The sequence below is a fragment of the Homo sapiens genome, chromosome 10 (assembly GCF_000001405.40).
Source record: "Homo sapiens chromosome 10, GRCh38.p14 Primary Assembly".
Classification (NCBI taxonomy): Eukaryota; Metazoa; Chordata; class Mammalia; order Primates; family Hominidae; genus Homo; species Homo sapiens.
Window position 1 is genome coordinate 101,424,654 of NC_000010.11, and position 24,660 is coordinate 101,449,313.

General features: G+C 36.8%; 1 protein-coding gene across 12 annotated transcripts in view, besides 1 other annotated feature; it reads left to right on the forward strand.

Moving 5' to 3' along the window:
- The window catches only part of BTRC (beta-transducin repeat containing E3 ubiquitin protein ligase), a 203,266-nt gene that overhangs the window by 70,606 nt on the left and 108,000 nt on the right, over positions 1 to 24,660 (forward strand). For 9 of the 12 annotated variants that reach the window (XM_006718054.3, XM_017016870.2, NM_033637.4 and 6 more), the window contains exon 2: positions 5,692 to 5,799. The exons of the other annotated variants lie outside the window; for them this stretch is intronic. In XM_006718054.3, the coding sequence (XP_006718117.1) occupies positions 5,692 to 5,799 (108 nt within the window). The remainder of the gene's footprint in view (positions 1 to 5,691; positions 5,800 to 24,660) is intronic. 12 annotated transcript variants of the gene reach the window in all.
- Positions 16,606 to 17,106: an enhancer, noted in NCBI's record as "H3K4me1 hESC enhancer chr10:103201016-103201516 (GRCh37/hg19 assembly coordinates)". NCBI's record gives its function as "activates a minimal SCP1, AML or CMV promoter by ChIP-STARR-seq in primed H9 embryonic stem cells {active_cell/tissue: H9 hESC(primed)}" and the evidence as "EXISTENCE:reporter gene assay evidence [ECO:0000049][PMID:30033119]".

Consider the following 24,660-nt stretch of genomic DNA (forward strand, 5'->3'; position numbering starts at 1 on the left):
ATCTGTGACATTACTCCAGACAGCCAAGTGTAGGGGGAAGAGTTGAGATTTTCAGTGTTCTCTGTGTAAATGAATTGTGCCATTGAACCTGATGGGCACTAGATACTATATTCTTCTTGAAGCACTGGAGGCCCTTCATTGCAATCTTGTTTTTTCAACTTTTATTTTAAAATTGGGGTATATGTGCAGGTTTGTTACAGAGATATACTGCACGATGCTGAGGTTTGGAGTCTGAGTGAATCTCACCCAGGTAGAGAGTGCAAAGTACCCATAGGTAGTTTTTTCAAGCTTTACCCCCTTTGTCCTCCCACCTTTTGTATTCCTCAGTGTCTGTTCCCTTCTTTATGTCCATGTGTACTCAAGGTTTTGTTCCTATGTATAAGTGAGAAAATGTGGCATTTGGTTTTCTGTTTCTGCATTAGTTCGCTTAGGATAATGGCTTCTAGCTGCATCCATGTTCTGCAGAGGACATGATTTCATTATTTTTTATGGCTACTTAGTATTCCATGGTATATGTGTACTGCATTTTCTTTATCCAGTCTTCCGTTGATGGGTACCTGGGTTGATTCTGTGTCTTTACTATCGCATTGCAGCATTTCAATTTTTTTTCTGATTCAGGTAGTAGAAAACATGTTCAGTCTTATTTTTTTCTGTGCTGTGTATGCTTTTTAAAGGCTAGTGAAGTCATTCAGTTGGATAACAACAATTATAATACATTGTTATACTCTTCAACTTTCTTTGATTTTGCAAAGGAGAGTCAATTGGGGTGACGTTAGGTGGGAACTGAGCTGAAGAAACTAATATGTGCTGTGCAGGGCTGGATTTGTGTAGGATGCAGTCATTATCTGTTAACTTTGTCATAGCTTTTGAGACTGCATGTAAGGAGTAGGTGATTTGCAAGTTATTTAACAGTTAACAGAAGGTAAATATTTAAACAGGAGAATGCGTAGTTGCTGCTTAGTTTAAAACCTGCTTTTTTTTTTTTTTTTAATTAAAAAAAATGTTTTTTAGCCAGGCGTGGTGGTGCACGCCTGTAGTCCCAGCTACTGGGCAGGCTGAGGCAGAAGGATTGCTTAAGTCCAGGAGGTCAAGGGTGCAGTGAGCTGTGATCGTGCCACTGCACTCCAGCCTGGGCAAGAGAGTGAGACTCTGTCTCAATAAAAGGAAAGAAAGGGAAAAAAAATTAAGTATAGAAAGAAAATTTTAGGAATTTAAATATAATTTGCAAGGAAAAACAACAAAAACAGTCCAAACTTTAAGTAGAAAACTATGTGCTTTTCAGGTATTTTAAAGGTAAATTTTAAAGGGCATTATTTATTAAATGTTGAAGGACAGAAAACATCTTACATATTTGTCAGAAACTGACCAATCAGAATGGCCCTGAAATGTATAGACTTAATAAGGATAGTAACCAAAATGACAGTCCTTTCCACTTTGTTCCTCATTGCCCAAATTTGCTATTTTCTCCTTCTTTTACGAAATGCTTCTAAATGTGAAGATAGAAGGGAAACAGGTAGAGTAAAAGTTATAGCCCACTCCATTTATTTTGTAATAATATTTTTTCTCAGTGTTAAGTGGCATTTACCAGTATAGATAAGATTAATTGTTACAAAACAAACCAATTTGAAGATTAGTTTTTAAATTGAGCCATAATATATAAAATCTTATGGTAATGTGCAGATCTGACTATATTCAAGTATAGTTTTCATACCCATACCAATTGTCTTGTAATAATCGGGAATGCATCCTCTGTGTGGTGTTTGCAAATTAATGCTATTTTGGAAATCACACCGGTATATCTAGTGGCTTTCCTGGGTGTATGTGGCTCATTACTGATTATAATTTTCTTTGGGAATTTTAGTTTAAGGGGATGGGGTAAGCACTTTCAAATTCTTTGTTGTTAGTAGTTTTGATGGAGGATAGGGATAAATGAATGAGGAAGTGTGTTAGAACGAGTAAGTAAACTCAGATAATTTATCAAGTACATACTACAAAAATAACGCAGATTTTTATGTAAAACGGAGGAGACAAATCATTCACAAGAGGAAAGCCTTAAAAACTTACCAAGGAGCATTCACAAAAATAAATATGTATATTTTAATTTTAAAAAGAGCCCCAAGTCTGTGAATGAAAGGGTTCTGGTTGGTTTCTAGACCCAGCTGTGCTTGCTGTATGCCATGCAGGTGGCTTTAGTATGGTTAAAAGTGTCGCCTGCCCTCTTGTGAAGGGAAGCAGGAGAAGCGACAAGCTACCTTCCAGTGCCTCCTCGATTTTCTTCCACTATTTCCTTTGTCCTTTTCCTGTGTTTTCATGCTCTATTTATTTACACCCACTTCTGACTTCTCTTTTTTCTCAGATTCAATCTTTCCTTCCGAATGACTGTGAGATTTTTTTCTACCCAGCACACACAGAAACTTAACCAATTGCGTATGTACAGCATTTCCATTTCTTTTTTCTTTCTTTTTTTTTTTTTTTTTTTTTTTGAGACGGAGTCTTGTTCTGTCGCCAGGCTGGAGTGCAGTGGCACAATCTCAGCTCACTGCAACCTCCGCCTTCCGGGTTCAAGCGATTCTCCTGCCTCAGCCTCCTGAGTAGCTGGGACTATAGGCGTGCACCACCATACCCAGCTTATTTTTGTATTTTTAGTAGAGATGGGGTTTCACCGTGTTGGCCAGGATGGTCTTGATCTCTTGACCTTGTGTTCCACCCACCTTGGCCTCCCAAAGTGCTGGGATTACAGGCGTGAGCCACCGTGCCCAGCCTGTGTACAGCATTTCTTATAACAATGAGTTACTTTTATGTTAAGGATTTTTTTTTTTTTTTTTGAGACGGGTCCCTTCCTTCCTTCCTTCTTCTCTTTCTTCTCTTACTTTCTTTTCTTTCTTCTTTCTTTCCACAGGGTCTTGCTTTGTTGCCCAGGCTGGTGTGCAGTGGCATGATCACCGCTCATTGCTGCCCTGATATCCCTGGCTCAAGCAGTCCTCCCATCTCAGCCTCCCCAAGTAGCTAGGACCACAGGCATGTGCCACCATGCCCAGCTATTTTTTAAATTTTTTGTAGAGATGGGGTCTCCCACATTACTGAGGCTGGTCTTGAACTTCTAGGCTCAAGGGATCCACCTGCCTCGCCCTCCCAAAGTGCTGGGATTATAGGATTGAGCCACCACATCTGGCTCCAGGACAGTGTCTACTACCAGAACAGCATTTAATAAGTATTTATTGAATAAATGATTAAAATATTAGCCTTAAGAAAATTTTAGTATCATTTACTTAAAAAATTAGCAAAGCATTCTTAATACGTATAAAGAAGTAATATGAGTAGAATGTGATTCTCAACAGCAAGGAAGCTTTTTTTACCCTATTTTCTCCATTCTCTTTCTGTTGCCTTCTCCTTCCAATGTGAGAATCTCTGCTATTAAGAACCGCTGGCAGAGACTGAAATTAGTATACATAATTCTAAGGAGATATTGATGTAAATGGTCGATATGGATTGGCAGGATGACAGGGAGAAGGAAATTATAAGTTTAAAGACAGGGGTAAGATGAGTATTTGAACAAAATATCAAGGTAGGTAGTTAGCTAGAGTGCCAGGGCCAATTAGAAGATTAGAGAAGGTGAGTTGATGTTGGCAGTGGGGGAAATGTCAGATTGACAGAGTGCTTGGATTTCATACAGTAGATATCTCATCATGAATTATTGATGAGAGTGACATGATAACAAAGTGAAGACAATTATTTTTCTATTTAGCTGCTGTTTATAAAATGGATCGTAGCTTGAGGTGAGGAAACGTTGAAAACAGTGAACAAAGTTCAGAGATTGTTGGAGTAATTCAAAGCAGTTTAGCTGTTTTGCTTGGTATGTTATCTGGTGATGCCTTTAGCAGATACCCTTCTTTTGAAGCCCAGTGTCCACTTTATGACTGAGGGATGGATGGAGGCAGGAGGAAGAATTCTGCACTAGAAAGCAACAGGCCAAGATTCTAGTCCCTACTTCCCTACTTTGTAAATTCATAATCATGGATAAATACTTAATTTTTCCTGGGCATCAGTCACCTTACCTATAAAATGAGGATAATGTATTAAGCGTAGTCCTATGGGTGGTAAATAAAATGAGGATAATAATCTAAAATCAGGGGATATACATAGATCTCCTTTGGATTTATTTGCAGCCCATTATCTATCTATCTTTATTTAGATAAGAGACGGGATCTTGCTGTGCTGCCCAGGCTGGATTTGAACTCCTGGGCTCAAGCGATCCACCCATCTCAGTCTTCTGAGTAGCTTGGACCACAGGCACAAACCTCTTGCATGGCTCTCATTGTCCATTTATCAATTTTAGATGGTGTAAACAGTGAATACCATATTTTGTTTCCCAATATTACTTTCTACAACTATATTGTTTTAAGGAGAAAAAAGTCTATGACAATATAAAATATTTCAAAGTCTGTAATTTTAAGGTTTAATGTTACCTATATTGACTACTATATTTTAAAATATGTATCCCTGTTTTTATATGTGCCATGATTAGGTATTTAGTTTTTTAGTTATTATTAGACTGTAATAGCACTCAAGTTGATGGATAAAATTTCATCCTGGGATACTTTTAGAGAAACATGAAGAATATAAAAATAGTTTTGAAAAGTATGGTTTCTTTCTTACAAAGCTGTAGCTGCAATAATACTAATGTCAGTTACTTAGAGCTACTAGAAATGTGTAATTTCTACCTTTTTTGACTACTGAATATACCATATGTATTATATATATGTACATTCTTAGGTATTTTTGTTTGTTTGTTTAGAAGGTTTTAATACCAACAGCTTTCTAGGTGTCGTCTTCTTCCTCTTCCTCTCCCCTCCCCCCCTCCCCTCCCTCCCTTCCTCCTCCTCCTCCTCCTCCTTTTTCTTCTTCTTCTCTCTCTCTCCTTTCTCTCTCTTTTCTCTCTCCTTTTTCTCTGTCTCTCCTTTCTCTCTCTCTGTGTCCCTGTCTCTCTTTGTTGTTGTTTTCCCTTCTGTTTGGGTTGTTTCTTCCCCTCGCCTTATACCCCCCACCCCCCACAGACCCCAATCCATCTGGAAAGATGAAGAGGCAGCTGCTATGGTAACTGTGCATTTTGGTTAATGAATAGCAGACTAACAAGATACATAAAACATACGCAAACTGTGCAGAGTTTGTTGCTGTCAAAGCCGTAGGGATACAATACTTTTTCTTTTCCTTCTAAAAAAAAAAAAAACTCTCTTAACTGTGGTGTTTTGTTTTCTAATTTACCATTCCTAATATTGTAATGTTTCTGTGAACTCCTCCTCTTTCTGCTTAGTCTGCACAGTATTACACCCTGTGGTGAGTTTATGGGAGCTGAGTTGAGGTGCATAGAGGAAAATAATTGATCAACTGGATTAAGAAGTAGATTTCCTTTAGACTGATACATAGAAGAATAGGGACAAAATGTTTTTGACTAAATGTTTGGTTTTTTGAACGATAACTTCTTTTTTTACCTCCTTTCCTTTTGGCCACTACTGCCCCTTTTGGGATTCTCTCTGGGGTTAAAGCCAGTAAGTAGTGTGTTTCTTAAAGATGTTTCTATCATAAAGGTCAGCTGCAACTGGAATATTGCGTTCAGCCAAGCCTTAAAAATTCCTGTAATCTGTGCCATCCTGTCTCATACTGTCCCATCTCATAGTTGTCCTCTCTCTGCAGTGCTCTATGCCCAGGTCTCTGTGGCTGGGCTGCTCCAGCCTGGCGGACAGCATGCCTTCGCTGCGATGCCTGTATAACCCAGGGACTGGCGCACTCACAGCTTTCCAGGTACTTTCTCTGTCTCTGTGGGTTATTTGCGGGCATTAGTGTATGTGTCTAATTCATTAGTATGTGCCTCCTCCTTTCCCATACTTTACTTATATTCATCTTTTCTCCTTCATATTGCCTGTATCTCACATCACTCAGTACTCCTTTAATGATTAGTTTATAATGTAGACCCAGACTGATCCACTCTTAAGACAATGTCATCATGATTGGTTACAAAAATTGACATAGTACAGCTTGACTGTTGGCTTTCAGATCAAGTAGAAGTATGATAGTAGATTTTAAAGTAATCTCAATAAATAGCAGTTCAATACGTAATATTTGCTCTGGACCTACATAAAGCCAATTAGTATAATCAATCAATTAATTACAATCAGTTTCCTGAACATTTTCTTATTTTTTTTAAATGATTACTCAAAGTATAAAGTGCCCTCTTCAGAGTATCTCCTGGTAATTATACTACTAAGTATATATTTTTTATAACTGTTTTATTTATATCTTGATTAACATTTCTAATTTCTAGGTGGAAAAACCTTTGAGACCTTTAGGTACAGTATTCACCTTGAGACACTCTAGCTAGTGTTTCATGAATTAACAGATTCCAGTTCCCCTCAGCCTTTCTTTTTTTTTTTTTTTTTTTTTTTTGAGACGGAGTCTTGCTTCATGGCGCAAGCTGGAGTGCAGTGGCGTGATCTCAGCTCACTGCATCCTGCGCCTCCTGGGTTCAAGCAATTCTCCTGCCTCAGCCTCCTGAGTAGTTGGGATTACAGTTACGCGCCACCACGCCTGGCTAATTTTTGTATTTTTAGTAGAGACTGGGTTTCACCATGTTGGCCAGGCTGGTCTCGAACTCCTGACCTCAGGTAATCCACCCATCTCGGCTTCCCAAAGTGCTGGAATTACAGGCAAGAACCACCGCACACAGACCCCTCAGCCTTTCTTAGAGGCCAGGATGTCAGTTCCAGGATGTGCGAGAAACTTATAGAGAAATAATGTGGAAAATTGTAGACAAAAACGTAGGAAAGAGTTTGGTGCTCATTGCTTACAGATTAGGGTACCATACATGATTGTTTTCTTGACTGAGTCTTATCTGCGTACCTCAGGTATTTGGAATTTGTGTTTAGCATTTTATAGTAATACACAACAAATTAGTTTTTATATTAATATTTGCCTGCTTTTAACCTGTTGTTCATATCTATTTAGAAGAATTTCAAAGATAGGCTGTAAGTGTCAGAAGGCTTGTGACTAAATTTTAGCTAAAAGAGGGGAACTTAGGTTTTCCACATTCCTAACCTATGCTAAGAGTTGTTAATTTTTAATGATACTATTTAGTGATCATAAAGCTGGATATTTTCATTTTTCCTTTACAAAATTTAATATCTTAAGATTTTCAGTTTTCCTTTACAAAATTTAATATTAAACTTCCTTGGCTTATACTATGAGATACAATATAGTAAAGCATGCAGGTTCTAAAATTAGCTAAATCAAGTCTTGAATATTGTCTTTGTCACTAGTGGTATGATCCTGAACTTATTTCCTTATCTGTAAATGGATACTATAGTAAGGGCATGCAGTGATGGTAGCTGCTTTTATCATGATCGTTATAAACATTATTGCTATTATTGGAGAGTAATTGATATCCTGAGACTGCTTATTTATTTCAAAGTGAAATATCTTTTTTTTCCTTTTTTTTTTTTTGAGACAGTCTTGCTCTGTTGTCCAGGCTAGAGTGCAGTGGCACAATCTCGACTCACAGCAACCTCTGCCTACTGGGCTCTAGTTGCCCTCCTACCTCAAACTTCCGGGTAGCTGAGACTACAGGCACACGACCACACTTGGCTCATTTTTCTATTTTTTTTGTGGAGATAGGGTTTCACCATGTTGTCCAGGCTGGTATCGAACTCCCCAGCTCAAGTGATCTGCCTGCCTCAGCCTCCCAAAGTGCTGGGATTACAGATGTGAGCCACTGCACTTGGCTATATCCTATATTTTTAACTACATATCATACTGACAAGGTTCTGCCATTGAAGAATCCATAGTCTAGTTTGTTGGTTTTTTTGTTTTGTTTTGTTTTTTAACCTTTTCGGGGTTGCAGTTAGTTTAGGCGATCTGCAAAGTCTGAGGGAATTGTAGTGCCTAAAAGGCTGCTCCTACTTCAGAAACTAGTTTCATGTTTAGAGGCCCCCACAACCACTCTTAGGTTTGATAACTTGCTAGAAAGGACTTAGAATTCACTGAAAACAATTATACTCACAGTTTATTACAGGAAAAGGACACAGGTTAAAATTAGCCAAAAGAAGAGACACATAGGGCAGAATCTCGGAAGGATCCAATTGTAGAACTTCCTGTCATCCTCTCCCCATGGAGTCATGGATGGCATTACTGCCTCCCAGCCGCAGTGTGTGACAATACTCACAGAGTATTACCAACCATGAAATTGACCTGAGCCTTTGGTGTCCAGGTATTCACTGGGGCTCTATCACATACTGCTCACATGGCTGACTTCTAGTCTCTTATTTCCTCCTGGTGTTGAAACTTATAGGTATGGTTTAGTGCCCCCAACATGAATCACATTTGTCCAGTCGCTAAATCTCTCAGGCAAGCAGAGATACTCTCACCAGACAAGAAGTTCCAGGGGCCCAGAGACCGCTTTCCAGTAGCCAAGAGGAAAGGCCATTCCTTTCTTTGGTGAAGAGTAATTCTTCACTACACAGGGGTCATGGATCTCTTTGGGAATCTGATGAGAACTATTGATCTTGGGTATTTGGCAACATTGTGTTGAATACTTTACATACATATATAGATGTTTATTATATTTCTATTTTGTGAAATGATTGAGAGCTATTAAATCACATAATTCTGAAAGTGTAATCTCCCAAGCTGATAAATTCTAGGAAGGGAATGTTCAAGGAGCTGTAAGAATATATAAAAGGGGGACCCAATCTAACCTGAAGTTTGAGGTAAAGAAGATCAGGTAATCAATGTTTAAGAGCTGAAGGATGAATAGGAATTAACTCGATAACAGGGAGGAATGGAGGAGAAGGAGGACATTTCAGGCCTAAGGAAGAGTCAGTGCAAAGGCCCCAAGAGCCAGTGAGGCTTGGTGCATTTAAGGACCCTACTGAAAACAAGACTGTTGTTTCAGAGAATAAAGAGAAAGGGGAGAATAGAGTGAGAAAAGACTGGGGAAGCTTGATCACTGAGGTCTTATGGGCCATTCAAAGTGTGTAGTTTAGTCTTGATTCTAAGAATAGTAAGTCACTGAAAGGATTTAAGCACAAGTTTTACCTGATCTGATTTGCATTACTCTGGCTATAAGAAGATGCATTTAGATATGTTACTCTGGCTATAAAAAGGATAATTTCAGTAGTTGAAGAGAGAGATGATGGCAGCTTGGTTTTGGACCCAGGATCTTTAAATTCTTAAAAAATTATTGAGGACCCCAAAGTGCTTTTGTTTATATGGCTTATATCTATTGATATTCACTATATTTGTAATAGGAATTAAGAAAAAAAAATTAAATATTCTTTAATTCACCTAAAGACTATAATAAACCTGTGGCATATAATGCAAATAACATTTTTATGAAAAATATATTTTTCAAAAAAAATTAAGACTAGTGTATTACATTTTTATGAATCTCTTTAATGTCTGGATTAAGAAAAGACAGCTGGATTCTCATGTCTGCTTCTGCACTCAATCTATTGTGGTTTGTTATTTTGGTTGACATATGTGAGTAATATCTGACCTGGCATAGGTATATAGTTTGAAAGGGAAAGATATTTTAATACCATTTTCAGGTAGTTGCAGTTTCTTGAAGATTAGTTGCAGTATGGTATCTGAAGCCTTATCAATGAACTTCCTCTGTTATTGTATTAAAATCCATTGGTCTCAGTTTTTTTCAATAAATTATGCTGGAACAATTGGATATCCTTGTGCAAAACAATGAACCTCAACGGTTATACTGCACTATATACATAAATTAATTTGAAATGGATCATAGACCTAAATCGGAGTTAACATGTATAAAACTAATAGAAAATGTGGCAAAAATAATCATTGTGACTTTGGGTTAGGCAGAGATTTCTTAGCTAAGATACAAAAAATATGAACCATAAAAGAAATAACTGATAAATTGGACTTCATCACTGTTTAAAAATTCTGCTTTTCAAAAGACACTTTAAAAAAATGAGCAGGAACCAGGTACAGCAGTGCATGCCTGTAGTCCCAGCTACTCAGGAAGCTGAGGCGGGAGGATTGCTTAAGCCCAGGAGTTCAGGGCTATAGTGCCTGTGAAAAACCACTGCTTAAGAACAGCCTGACCAACATGGCTGAAACCCCGTCTCTACTAAAAACGCAAATTTAGTAGAGACGGGGTTTCAGCCATGTTGGCCAGGCTGTTCTTAAACTCCTGTCTTCAGGTGATCTGCCCACCTCGGCCTCCTAAAGTCCTGGGATTACTGGCATGAGCCACTGCACCTGGCCTCAACAAGATTATTATTATGTCTTATGTAGCAAAAATGGGCTTATGTACTGGTTTTACCCTATCAATTCAATAATTTGTTCTATGTCAGGTTCAGCACACACAGGTGCTTGATAATACTGGTTGACTAATAGGCAGAAACTGGATTTGAATCTAGTATCTTCTCTGCCCACCTACTGGAATTACAGCAGTCTTAGTGCATTTGCATCCTTCTGGTTTAGGTTTTATTTTATTTACCTAGATTTTTATTTAGGTAAATTATTTACTTAGATTTTTATTTAGGTAAAATTTACATACAGTGAGATACATGGATCATAAGTGTACTCTTAGGTGAGTTTTGACAAATGCATACTTTTGTGTAACCTTCAATTTCAAGATACACAACAGTTTCATAATCTGAGTTTCCTCATACTCCTTTCCAGTCTGTACCCATCCCCCATATGCAATTACTGTTCTGATTTGTCACCAAGAATTTGTGTTGCCTATTCTTGAACTTACTTCATATAAATGCCATCATATAGTGTACATTCTTTGTGTCTGTTTTCTTTCAATCAGTATGATGTTTTTAAGATTTATCCATGTTACGTATATCAGTAGTTCTCTTTTATTGTTAAATATATTTCATTATATTAGTACACCACAATTTGTTTATCCATTCATTTATTGATAGGTATTTGGATTGTTTCCAATTTTGGCCTATTATTAATAAAGCTACTATAAACAGTTTTGTATAAGTCTTTTTTTTGGCATGTATTTTTATTTCTCTTAGGTACATGTCTAAGAATGGAATTTGTTGGGTCATAGAGTAAGTGTATTTTTAACTTTAAAAGAGACAGTGAAGCAATTCTTCAAAGTGGTTGTCACAGGAATACCCATTTTTACTAATATTGACAAATATGTTAATGAAATGTCTCATTTAATGTAATGGCTTCATGACTTTTTTTTTTTGATCATTGGATTCTTTTAGTAAGTTTGAAGCATCTTAAGTCAAAATTCTTATGGCAATAAAGAAGGAGAAGCTATGGAGTCATTGCTGAATTTGTTGGATTATTCCCAGTAGCTCAAATTGAAACCACAGCATTGAGATGGTTTGAAAACTAGTGACAGGGAAGATGCTGAAAAAAGTTGTTAGAATAAATTCTATGGGGATATGTTTAGTTTGAGGATATTTTTATTTTCATCATTCCATTGATTTATCCTGGAAAGTGTATGAGTGATTAGAAGATTTCTGTTGATTACCAGTAGATATATTTGATGGAATCATTTGCTCATTCCCAGCAAATGGTGATCCTATAATCTATAATATTAAATGAGAATGAGCAATAGAGTTAAAGTAATTAAAAATAGCTGAGTAATTAAGATTCTTTATTTTGCTTTAGATATTGAAAGAGAAGAGAAATGAAATTCTGACTGTAAGAATATAAGTAAGGGGCCGGGCACGGTGATGCACGCTTATAATCTCAGCACTTTGGAAGGCCAGGGCTGGCGGATCACATGAGCCCAGGAGTTCGAGACCAGCCTGGGCAACATAGTGAGACCCTGTCTCTACAAAAAATTAGCTGGGTGTGGTGGTACTCACCTGTCCCAGCTATCTGGAAGGCCAAGGTGGGAGGTCAAGGCTGCAGTGAGCCATGATTGCGACACTGCATTCTAGCCTGGGTGACAGAGTGAGACCCTGTTTCAATTAAAAAAAATAGATAGATAGATAGATAGATAGATAGATAGATAGATAGATAGATTTATATGGCCCTAGAATACTTTAGCTATCAAGTGTAACCAGTAATTTTAGGAAAATCTTGAGCTAAGTGAAACGTGATATTTTAACATTAGCTAGGGTTCCATGTCAAAGGTTGAAATTGTATTGAATTCAGGAGAGATGTTGTATTTTATTCCTTAAGAATGCTTACAAGTCTACTGAATTTTACCATGTACAAAGTGAAATGTTAAAATGGAACAATACAGGAAAATTAGGCATTATTCATTATATATATGGAAAACTTAATTTTACATTTGAGATTTTAGAGGAATATGGATTATCGAATTGAATATACATTAACATTCAAATTCTATTACAAAACAATACCATAAGGAAAATTATCCTGTGACAGAAATGCTTCTCATTCTGTAGCTGATACCCTCTCTATTGTATATGAATAATTTCTGTGTAGCACAATTTCTGTATAATAAATGTAGTTATTTTTTATGTATATGTTAACATTTGACTTGTATTTATCCCAGCTACACCCTTCACCTTAGGGGTTTGCAGGGAATGACAAATCAAACATGTTTTTGTTTGTTTGTGCAGAAATGTTTTGTTCTCCTAATAAAATGAATTATTGTTTATTATGGAATATGTACATTATTTGGTAAATATATAAACAAGAGTATCACCCATATGCCTTCCACTTTAAGATAATTATTGCTAGATTAACATGTTAGTGTCCTTTGATCTGAAATGACTTATCCATCCATGTGTGCCTGTGCGTGCACACACACACACGCCCAAATAATGGTTTCATTTTTAAGTATTTTATTACATTTAATTAAATTATGAGATATACAGTTAAAACATTTAATATTCATTGTAGAAAATAGAAGTAGAAAGAAGGAAGGATTTTAAATGTCCTCCCAGAGATTACCGTTTCAGTGATACTAGTAATTTCTGAATTTCACCTATATCATATTGCTCAAATTCTACATTCATCATCTGGTAATACTGATTTTGGTCACTGTTTATCTCATAGATAGCTGCTCACATGTTTTTGAATTGAACAAAGTTTGAATTTGGCTTATATCTGACCACCACCTCCCTCTCATGTAATTGTTAGTCATTTCAAATTTTGCAGTTCCCCAAAGGTGCAGTGTGTTCTTTTATATATCTGTGTCTTTGCATATACCGTTCTGCTTACCTGAAAAAACCCCTCCACAAACACCTATTGTCCCTTACCCACTCTCTGCCTTTGTCTACCTAATCTTCAAGATTCAGCTCAAGCTGAGCTAGAATTAAAGTCTTCCCTGATCTTTATCTTTGCTCTCTTAAACTAGTCAGAGGATCTGTACCCAGAGCATGCATGGAATTCTGTGCCCTGTAAAATTGACATGAAGAAAAGGAGTATTCATTTTCGTACTTGATTCTTTAACAAAAAATTCCTGATTGGGTCTAACTTTTTACGTGTGTTGGATTAGATGGTCATATACAGAAGGGAAAGAATAGCAATATAAGTCTTCTCACGTCTGTAATCCCAGCACTTTGGGAGGCCAAGGAGGGCAGATCACAAAGTCAGGAGATTGAGACCATCCTGGCTAATGCGGTGAAACCCCGTCTTTACTAAAAATACAAAAATTAGCCGGGCGTGGTGGTGGGCGCCTGTAGTCCCAGCTCCTCGGGAGGCTGAGGCAGGAGAATGGCATGAACCCGGGAGGCAGAGCTTGCAGTGAGCCGAGATCGCGCCACTACACTCCAGCCTGGGCGACAGAGCGAGACTGCCTCAAAAAAAAAAAAAAAAAAAAAAAAAAAAGTCTTCTCATTAGCAATATAAGTAATCTAATTTTATGTTTTTATGTCTCACACATACACATACATATATACTACATTGTGTCAAATTAGTAAGTACAAAACTTTTGTGTATGAATTTCAGTTTTCTATTTAAAAGAAAGTACATAATTAGTTTTACCAAAATATAGTTGCTACTGTTCATTGTAGTTTCTACCCTTTATATGAGCCATTGTTTGGGGGAGTACTTGTTTTGTTACTGGTAATAAACTACAAGGGAAATTTGTAATATAATATTAGTATATTTCCCCTAGATTTTTAAAAAGCAGGTCATTATTTTTTTAAGCACTTCAACTGCAGCACAGTGCAATCTTTTGGGGAGAATTGGTAAAATGAGGATAAAATTAGTACAGGATTCCAGCAGCTTGAAAATAACACAATATTTGACCAAAATCTCTTTTGTATTCCCTACTCTGGTTCAATTCCAGTAGTCCTGGAAATGTGCCTATGGACTATTTACAGTGAGATTATAAAACTGAATCATGATTTTGGTGAATAGAAGCCAGAGCATGTGGCTACAGCACCCCAGCTGGCAGTAAGCTCTCCCTAGGTTTATGAATGTAGTTAGATGGTCCCCAACTGTTTACAAGACAGCAGAGGTGAGATATTTGATTGACAAGTCAGAAATGCATTAGATCATTCTCTCTGCCAGTCTCTGGTTCATGCTGTTAAAAATGTCAGCCTCCAAGTTTGAATGGCAGCCTGAGGGCCTTAGAAGCTTTTTGTTTTCTGAGATGGAAACACAAATTGGATGTGTGCCTGAGCGCTTCATCCTGGGCTGTAATTTCATCTTTTAGCTAAGAACCACAAGGTACACGAGCAAAGCACCCTGTAAACAATAATACTGTGGAAAAAAAATAAACAAGGTCGTGTTTCTGGTACGTTGATCCGATGGTGTCCTGACCTCTATCACGTTGAACATCTCCACTCTGATTGCTGTTCCCTTTGGCATTACAATGAGAGAAAGAGAGACTGACATACTATGAAGAAAAGATTTAAAGTTGCAGTATCGTTGCACATTCCTTGTATTGGCTATGAAATATTGAACTGTCAGAATGTGACACTTGGTTTTTTAAGCAACCTTTCTTGTTTGAGGTGTTTGCAGTTCATTCCTTTCTCCCCCATTTGTCTGCTTTCATTGATAGGGTTGGAAGTAGTTGCCTTAAATGCATGAAAAGGGACAGTGTTAAAGAGAAGTGGTGCTGATGGAGCCAAACAAACTTAACACTAGAAAATAAATGCAGGCTGTGGGGCAAAGGAGATAAAGTTGGGTTAGTGTATTATTAATAGTGGAATTTATGGAACACCCTATTGTAAGGAAGAATCAGGTTAGGTCCCATTTCTGTTTTTGTGGAGGCAGGAAGTTGGGAAGGTGGTATTGGGTAAAGAGATGCAGTGACATAGTTTGTTAAACTGATAGCCTACTATATGGCAGTATTGCCAGGCCAATCAGAATTCACCCAGCTATTTTATTTATTGCTCTTATTATCCAGTGTCTTTAACAAGTGGTGAAATTATAGAAGACTTTAAAATTTGGGGAAGAAAAATATTTTTTTAATGTGGAAAATGTGTATTTATAGTAAGAAAGCTCATTAGGTAATATGGAAGAAACATTATGCTTATATTAGTCCAGCTTATGCCAAATGAATAGAAAATCTTCCTTATAAAACCACCATATATTTCTTGGAAAATATTTTGTAGTAATAAAATGAGTTTTCTATTATGTTTTAAATTACATCTTTTTTTTCAAGCTATGAGTAGGAGTTTATAAATTACAATACATCTTAAAACAACATATATATTTTTTCTTCTAAGGAAGCACTATTGATGTATGCTTTCATTTTCATCCCTTTTGGGGCATTGAATTTACAAGTAAAGTTTTAACTGAGAATGAATGGCCTTTTGCAGTTCTTCTGGAGTATGGAAAAGAGTTTGTATTGAAAGTTCCTCAATGGCTGGGCACTGTGGCTCATACCTATAATCTCAATACTTTGGGAAGCTGAGGTGGGTGGATCACTTGAGCTCAGAAATTCGAGACCAGCCTGGGAAACATGGTGAAACCCCATCTTTACCAAAAATACAAAAAATTAGCCAGTCATGGTGGTGCCAGTCTGTGGTCCCAGCTACTCGGGAGGCTGAGGTGGGAGGATCGCTTAAGCCTTGGAGGTGGTGGTTGCAGTGAGCCGAAATCATATCACTACACTCCAGCCTGGGTTGACAGAGTGAGACTCCATCTAAAAAAGAAAAAAAAAGGCAACTATTTAGCTTAGCCCTCTCCTCTGAAAATGTGAAAGGCAAGAGCTGTTCTGCATCAGTCTAGTGAAATGCACTGGAAAAATGGTGTTGGTAATTCCTGCTTTGAGGTCATGCTAGAAAGAGAGAAGATAATACTTGTAAAATATAAGTCCTGCTCCTTTGTAGCCAGATTTTTGTCCTTACTTAAAAATATTGTGCTCAGAAAGTAATACCAAAAGGAGGGATATTAAGAACTAGTTATTGTTGTTTTTAAGTATTGCTCTGAATTTTTAAAGCATAAACATTGATGTAGATTTGCATTTAAGCTATGAGAACCCACTGTCTTGACTCAGTGGGGGAGTTTTCAAAAATCATTCTTGTAGAAATTGATTTCTCATTGGCTGATTTCTACAGGATGAATGAAAACAAACCATTTTTTGCAGTCTTAGAAGAATAAGAGGAATGCAAGTGTTTAAGAAATGAGACTGAAATATGCTTTATGGAGTTTTCTAAATCTGGTACAAAGAAACTACAAAATTTCTTCTTATGTATTATGCATCAATACAGTGAAAATGCCTCACAGCTTATGGGCTTTTTACAACCACACCTTCACAATTAATGATTAGCTTTATTATTTAAACTCCAGGCTTGCCTCATGAGCAAACATCAGTGTATTCATAGAACCATAGAATTTCAGCATTGGACCAGACATCAGAGGCCATCTAGTCACATACGTCTCATAATGTAGAAATCCTTTATGAAATGTGTTTGGAAGGGAGTCATCTAATCTCTCCCTGATCACTACCATTATTGGTGAATCAAACTTCTTGAAGCATCTTGCTTTTACTTTGTTGGTTCTACTAGAAAGTTTTTTCTTGGCCGGGCGTGGTGGCTCATGCCTATAATCCCAGCACTGTGGGAGGCTGAGGCGGGCGGATTGCCTGAGCTCACGAATTTGAGACCAGCCTGGGTAGCATGGTGAAACCCAGTCACTACTAAAAATCCAAAAAATTAGCCAGGCGTGGTAGTACATGCCTGTGATCCCAGCTGCTTGGGAGGCTAAGGCACGCGAATCGCTTGAACCTGGGAGGCGGAGATAGCAGTCAGCCGAGATCACACCCACTGCACTGCAGCCTGGGTGACAGAGTGAGACTGTCTCAAAAAAAAAAAAAAAAAAAAAGTGTAATAAGTCAGAATACAATGTAGACACGTCTTGTTTTGAACACAATTTAAATAATGTAATTTAATTACTGCCTAAGATTGCATATACTTCTTTGATTTGAATGATGGAAAAATTTCTAGGAACTTAGCCTGGGTTTGTTTCCTCATCTTTTCTTTGAAGCCAGAAAAGCATAGAAAAGCATATGTAAGCACTTTGACAAATGACATAATGTAGCGGCATATCAGAGTGGCACAGGTATTTTAAACCTAGCTCCAGTTCCTGAAGATGGTGAACATCTGCTTAGAGGTACTGTAGAGCTCCACAATGCACTAATTGAATTACTCTTTTCTGGAGTTGCGACTGCACTAATTGAATTAGAATCTCTCTCTCTCTCTCTCTCTGTCTCTGTGTGTATGTGTGTGTGTGTGTGTGTGTGTAAATGAGATAATTCCAACCTTAACGGGAGAGACTATGAGAGACATGACTGATGGTGTGTACTGTGCTGCTATCTAATGGCAGCCTATGGAACTACTACGTGGTCTCCAGGGAAGAGAAAATACAGCGTGACCTCAGTCTAACCCCATCCAGTTTAGTTCAGAAGGTCCCAGGATGTAATTTTGTAATTCTAAATTGAAAAGGAAAGAATGTGATAAATTTCTGTATTAAAAATTAAGATATATTTTATTAGGCATAAAGTTTTTAAGTACTAAGTTACAAATATTCAACTGAATTAAAAATTTCCTTTAACTGGTGAAAAAAAATCGAGTTGGTGGGTCATCTTTTTTCTCATTTTGTCCTTCAGTGACATAAACGTAAAAAGGAATTAACGTTTTTGAAATGTCTTAGCATCATAGAAAGGATAAATGATACAGGGCTTGTTCATATTTTTAAATACAATTTTTTTCCTGGTTGTTAGAAATAAGGTGTTACCAGATTTTGCTTGTATGTGATTATGCTTATATTAATTATAGCAGTATCAAAGTAAGTTGTACAGATCTCACTTGCTCTTTTTTTTTTTTTTTTTTTTGAGACGGAGTCTCGCTCTGTCACCCAGGGTGGTGCCATCTCGGCTCACTGCAAGCTCTGCCTCTCGGGTTCACACCATTCCCCTGCCTCAGCCTCTCGAGTAGCTGGGACTACAGGCACCCGCCACCATGCCCGGCTAATTTTTTTGTATTTTTAGTAGAGACGGGGTTTCACCATGTTAGCCAGGATGGTCTGGATCTCCTGACCTCGTGATCCGCCTGCCTCGGCCTCCCAAAGTGCTGGGATTACGAGCATGAGCCACCGTGCCTGGCCTCTGTTGTTCTACTTAATAGTTTAAAAATTAAGTTTACCACAAATTTGGGCAAGTTTTAAACCCTCCTAAGTGAAGTCAGTTATTTTGTTCCTTTAAAAGAAAAAAAGAATCTTAGTCACAATTTACTGATTTTTGTAAAACATGCAAATGTAGTCCTGCGCAACATTAAAAGCAAATAAATACACTGAGGACAACTCAACATGAAATATATTTTGATTCAGTTTAACTCTAGGCATTCTAACTTGTAAAAATGGCCCTTAACAGAAAAATACATATGTATAATCACTTGATTTATAGAATGTGTATGTGTGCATACAAAACCACTTCAGTAAAAGTGCTGTTGGTTACCATTCTGAGCATTTAAAACGATCACTTTCCATTTGATCATATTAAAGATATAGAAACAAGTATATAGCATAGAAAAGTTTTAATTTCTTCTATGTAATCTTCATTATTAAAATATGTTTGAATATGCCATTATTTTGTAGGCTAATTTGTTCTTCATTGTGAGATTGAGGTACTTAGATTTCTTGTATGAATAGCTCTCACTAAAATGACTATAATTTGTACTTTTTATATTGTCCTTAGGGACATTTTACTGATTTAGAAAATCCTTTTGACATCAAGTAGATGTAAGGCTTTACAAATAACATGGCCATTCACAACTAGCCACAACTCCGATTCGATTCACAGAGTACCTTTTATTTGCCAATTACTGTACAAAGTCTTAGGCATAAATTAAGATTCAGAACCTATCCTCAAGGAGCTTATAGTTATTTGTTATACATGTATTAAGTACTTATATACCAGTCACTGTGCATATAATTACTAGTGTTAACCATTAGTCATATGTATTTTTTTCTGATTTATTGAGCTAGAGGTCTGGCTTAGTAGCAGTCCTAAGGAAATGGTATACTTATGTTCATATCAGATATATCTCATCTCAGCAAAAAAGTGATAATGTATATTTCAGACTAGTCTGTGTCTTAAATGGTTTTCTCTTGCCTTTACATACCTTCTAAGGGAACAGTGATGTTTGTGATAGCTGTACATGTAGCTTAAAAAGAGATGATAATATTTGTTACAATGCCTCCTACTGGTTGATCATAGATTTTCAATCCTTGTTGTCTTCAGAACTGGTAGTTCCCACTGGTGATTTGATAGTTTGGGGCTTCTACTGAGGCTATAACTGAGAAAGAGTCTATTGCATACAAGGTATAAAGTGCTTCTTTAAACAGTCTGTTTCTAGAACCTAAATTGTCCTGGGACCAGCTCTTGATATAAAAATTCATAGAAACCTGTTTTTCACAGAGTGTGGTAACTCCTTGCCATAGTGCTGTAGTGTTAAAATTCACATTGGCCAGGTTGTTCTGTAAATTAAACACTGACAGCTACCCTCAGGGGAACAGCCAATGTATTTATGATGATGTGCTGATTACACAAAATACACTGCAAGCAGAAAACAGCTGCAGAGAATAAACCTCTTAAAAAGAATACAATTACAAATAGCACCCTCAGTATTTCTAGTGGTGAGTGTAGAATACAGCATGCTAATGCAAGTTTCTTACTAGTCCGCCTGAAAACAAAAAATCTGAAGGAGATAAATTATGGTTGAATGCACATGCGGTGCCAGCATAGCAGTGAACAAATTTCCTTTCTCAAGAGCATGGCTGTAAGTGCACAGATTTCAGGTGTGGAGTAGTCTAACCACCCTCCCTCATTTTGTTAGGTTTTATTAGTGGTTTTCTCATATATAGTAGGGCATGGCCTTGAGGTTATAGGGGCTCTAGACATTTGAAAGATATTACACAATGAATGGGGCAGGAGGGTAACTAAATTGTGGTTACAAATTTCTGGTAGAAACTCGATATGTTAGGGTTTAGTTATCGACATTTCATTTGAAGATACGACTATATATTTTCAGTGTTATTAATGGCATTGAAGATGGTGCCCTTGGAATTAATAAAAGGAGTCATGACTCTCTGGTAAGATCTTTCTGATTTCTTAGATTCTGTTTTTCAAGAATAATGGTGTTTTAGGACATTGGAATAGCTGATTGTATATTTGTAGGAGTATCAGCTCTCAAATATGTCCCTTTTCATTCCTGCATCTTACTGGTCACATGCATACAGGTAAGAAGATTAGAAAAAAAATTTTGTTTTCCCTATTTGAGATTCTCTCTGTTAGAGCTTAGGGTCAGTATCTATAAAATATATTTCAACTGCTGAGCATGCTAGCTTCTGTTTAAATCAGTAGAAAATATGTTGATCTTTCAAGACATAAATTTACTCAAGCCAACTGTAAGGTATAGCGCAGGGACATAGTGATTGGAGACAGTTCACTTCACCCGCCTGAAACTAAGAATCAACTCTTCAGTGTATGGATCACTGGTATGTAATAATCGACTATTATCGGTCTGTCTATTGGTCTCTTTTTAAATCAGTTTGGAACCTCCTGGAGTTATTTTCTTGCTCTACTGACATCAATCCCATGTGGCAGAGGAGTTGTGTATAATCGCTTTGGTTTAATCAATAGAATAATTGATAAACCAGATAAGATTTAAACTGATTATAGCCCCAGCAGAATTCCCCAGAGGCCTTGGACTCTCTTAATTTTGACATGTGTGTTGTGTACCCTGAGGATGAAGTGCAGTTTGAATTATCTGCTTTTATTTGCTTAATGACGGGGAGGGTGTTAAAGTCAAATGTTTAATTAACCCAGCAATGGGCTGCGTTGTCACTTACACACAGCTGATTGAGATATCTCATGGAGAATACTGAATAGGAATGATAATGTGGCACTGGGACGGAAGATTGCTTTTTCAATCCATTTGCTGGGTCACTGCTTTGAATGTCTTATTGGATGAAAGGCATTCAGCCTGGAGAAAAAATTCAGCATTTAAGTACATTTTGTTCTCTTCCCCCCCCACCCCCCCAACCCCCTCCGTGCTCAGAAGTTAACTAAAACAGATATGTTCTAGGTTTATTAAGCCATCCATGTACTAGTAAGAGATCAGGATAGCCAGTAGCCTCAAGCTACATAATTTCCTGTGGAAACGGAAAAATCCTACTAGCCTCTAAGGTATTCTAAATGTGAGCTCTTTTGTCCCTCACATCCTGTGTCCCTTGCCATTATTGTGAGGTTGTCTTTGGTTACTTGTCTCTTGCCTTTTTCTGTAGTGTTTGCTAGATGTGCAGCTACCTCTAGGGCCAAAGGCAGACCTTTTCCTCCCAAAGAAGCAAATTATCCAGTACATTTTTTGCTATTTGATATACCTGGCTTCTATTTGGTTGTAATTGTGACTAAGAATTATAATGAGACTGTTGAACTATTCAGAGAGATGAAAATTTGAGGCATTACAAATTCTTGCTTTTTTGGCTACTGCTATTGTAAAAACAGTTGATGCTGTGTATATTTCATTTTGTTGAGAGGCACTTTGCTTTCTATATGGACTAAAAAATTAGGCCAGGAAAGATTGCAATATTCAACACCATCAAAAATGAAGTCTAGGCAACTGGAGTTTTAATGACTTGCTGCCCACAAAATATCCCTGACTAGCTTTATAATGGAATGTAAAAACTCATTGAAGGCATATGAGCAAAACTTTAAAAAAAATTAACCATGACTTTCCTTCTCTGTAGTTCTTATGTTTCTTCCCTCTATCCCCCAAAGATCTAAACCAGGAATTTACTAATTTTTTTCTTTGCTTTAGTCATTTGTATTCCAGAGAGCACAATAGGGAGAAGGATACAAGATTGATTTTTTTATGTGTGTCCTCTTGAAAGCAGAGTCTGGGGCATGAATACTGTGGGGGGTGGTGGGGGGGCCGGTTACAAAGCAATAGAAGCATGCAGCTAGTGTTCGCGTGCAGGTTGGACTTTTTGCGGGTCAAGGCAGACCAGACGAGTAGCTTATCTTGAGGGACGCAAGTAATAGACCAAATATAGAGCAGCTATTTCAGGAATCATGTAGGTCATTTAATTATCCATTATGATTGAGTGGCTAATGCTCTTTTGGCAATTACATGACCTCTGTTATTCTTGAAACCTATCCAGGCCCTCGTGGGTCAAGTGACCCACAAGTCAGTGCTCTCAGACTTGATTCCACTCAGAAAGAAAGGAGATGTTGGGAACCACTGGCATTTAGAAATGGCCATGTTTTCTTTACTGACCACTACCCAGAATGTCCTTTGTACAGCAGTGATAGGCAACTGGTTTTGAAGTCAACTATTCCTTCATTGTATATAGGAGCAAAAGATGCATTATACATTGGTTTCCACAAGAGGGTATTTTGGCAGGAGATACTTTAATACCACAATTAGCTATTATGGTATTCACTAATTCTGTACTGTAAGAACAACTACTATGATATTAAAATTAATGTTTGATATCTGTCAAACCAATTATCTATTACCAAACTCTGTAGTGGTATTTTCCATTCCATAACGCAACAAGTGCTATTGATGATAGCTAATAACAGATATTAGTATATTATTAATTACTAATAGTAATTATAGTAACAGATTAGTAATAATAACAAAATGCCATTGATGATAGCTAATAACAGATTTTAAAATATCATTCATTAAAATTAGCCTAATTTGAATTTCAGTGCTACAACGATTATTAAATTAAAAGGCCACTTTAAAATTAGGTTCTGGTCAAAGACAGAATAAGTTGGAAACATCTTGATTGTTTATCACTTTTTTTCTTTAATCAACCAAGTATTATTAATATTTCCAAAAAAAACCAATTTCTGCTAAATGATAGTAAAATTTTCTATAATTCAGTGACTTGTGGGGTAATTTTGAGAACAGAAAATGTACATTTCTTGTGATTCTTTAAATCGAAGATAGTTACGGTGTGGAAAGCAATGGCAGCATAATCAAATTAATTGTAGGATTTGTCAGAAATGCACAAAATTCTGCATAGTTAGCAAAGTGGTAGATTAGAGGTATACAGCCATTCTCTAGCATTCCAGTAACTTAAGACCTTAGGCTTAAGAGAAATAATTTTGGTATTCTTTAAGTAGAAACTATTTGCATTGCTATAGAAAAAGGCAGTTCCTTCTATTGGAGAAAAAACATCTTTTAAAAATTTGTTACTTACACATCAAAGAGCATTGCTTTAAAACAACAACAACAACAAAAACTCAACAAGGTTGTTTATCCCTGGAGCAGTAAAATTAGCCATCCTTCCCAATAAATTTATTAAATTACCCCTGGTAGAACTCCAAGCTAATCTGTTTTGGTTTTATTTTCATTTTGTTGTTTGGTGATGTTAACAAATGAAAAATTGAAGACATGAATTGGTGTGTATAACCTTTGACCCTTCAGAAATAGAAGACTTCTCACTCAAATTTTAAATCCTTAAGCCAATACTACCTTAGGGTCTGGCTACTTAGAGACCCATGAGAATGCAGTTAATCTGAGTTATATTTGCTGTTTTCTGTTTAAAAACATATTTTCTCTCATTCTAGTTTTTTCATTTCTGTGGTGGAGATGAACAGAAAATGGAAAGCAGGATTTACAGCAGAAGTTACAGATTAAACTCAAGTATCCCAAATAAGGAGTATAATTAGTCTGCTTACCATTTTAAGAGGAAAGCAAGGGATATAATGTATGGTGTATAATTTTTTTTTTCTCCCTATATATTACTTTTCTTTAAGGCATACCCTTCAATATCTATGCTGAGACATGTTTTTCAGCCTTGGGAACCAAAAATTTATAGAAATAAGTGAGAGGAATGGTATTTGTAATTTTAAAGACCCGAAGAGACATTAAGGCAGTATCATTAGTTGGGAAGGACACAGTATAATAATAAGCCTATATAATAATTTCTTAATTAGGAAAAAAAATAATGATTAAACAAGACCAGTCCATATTAGAGACATACACCTAAACACAGATCTTAATCTAGCCCAGTCTAGCTTTCAGAAATGTAGTTTATTTACTTGGGATGGTTTTACGTCTCGGGATATTAGCTTTTATCAAGTTTAAAGGAATCTTAAATTTCTTTCAAGATATTGTTGAATTGTAATAAAATGGTAATACCAAAGCAAGGAAGATATCCAAGGGGATGAAAGTCATTTAGCAAAAAGAAACAAAAAACCAGGAAACAAGGATGACAGAA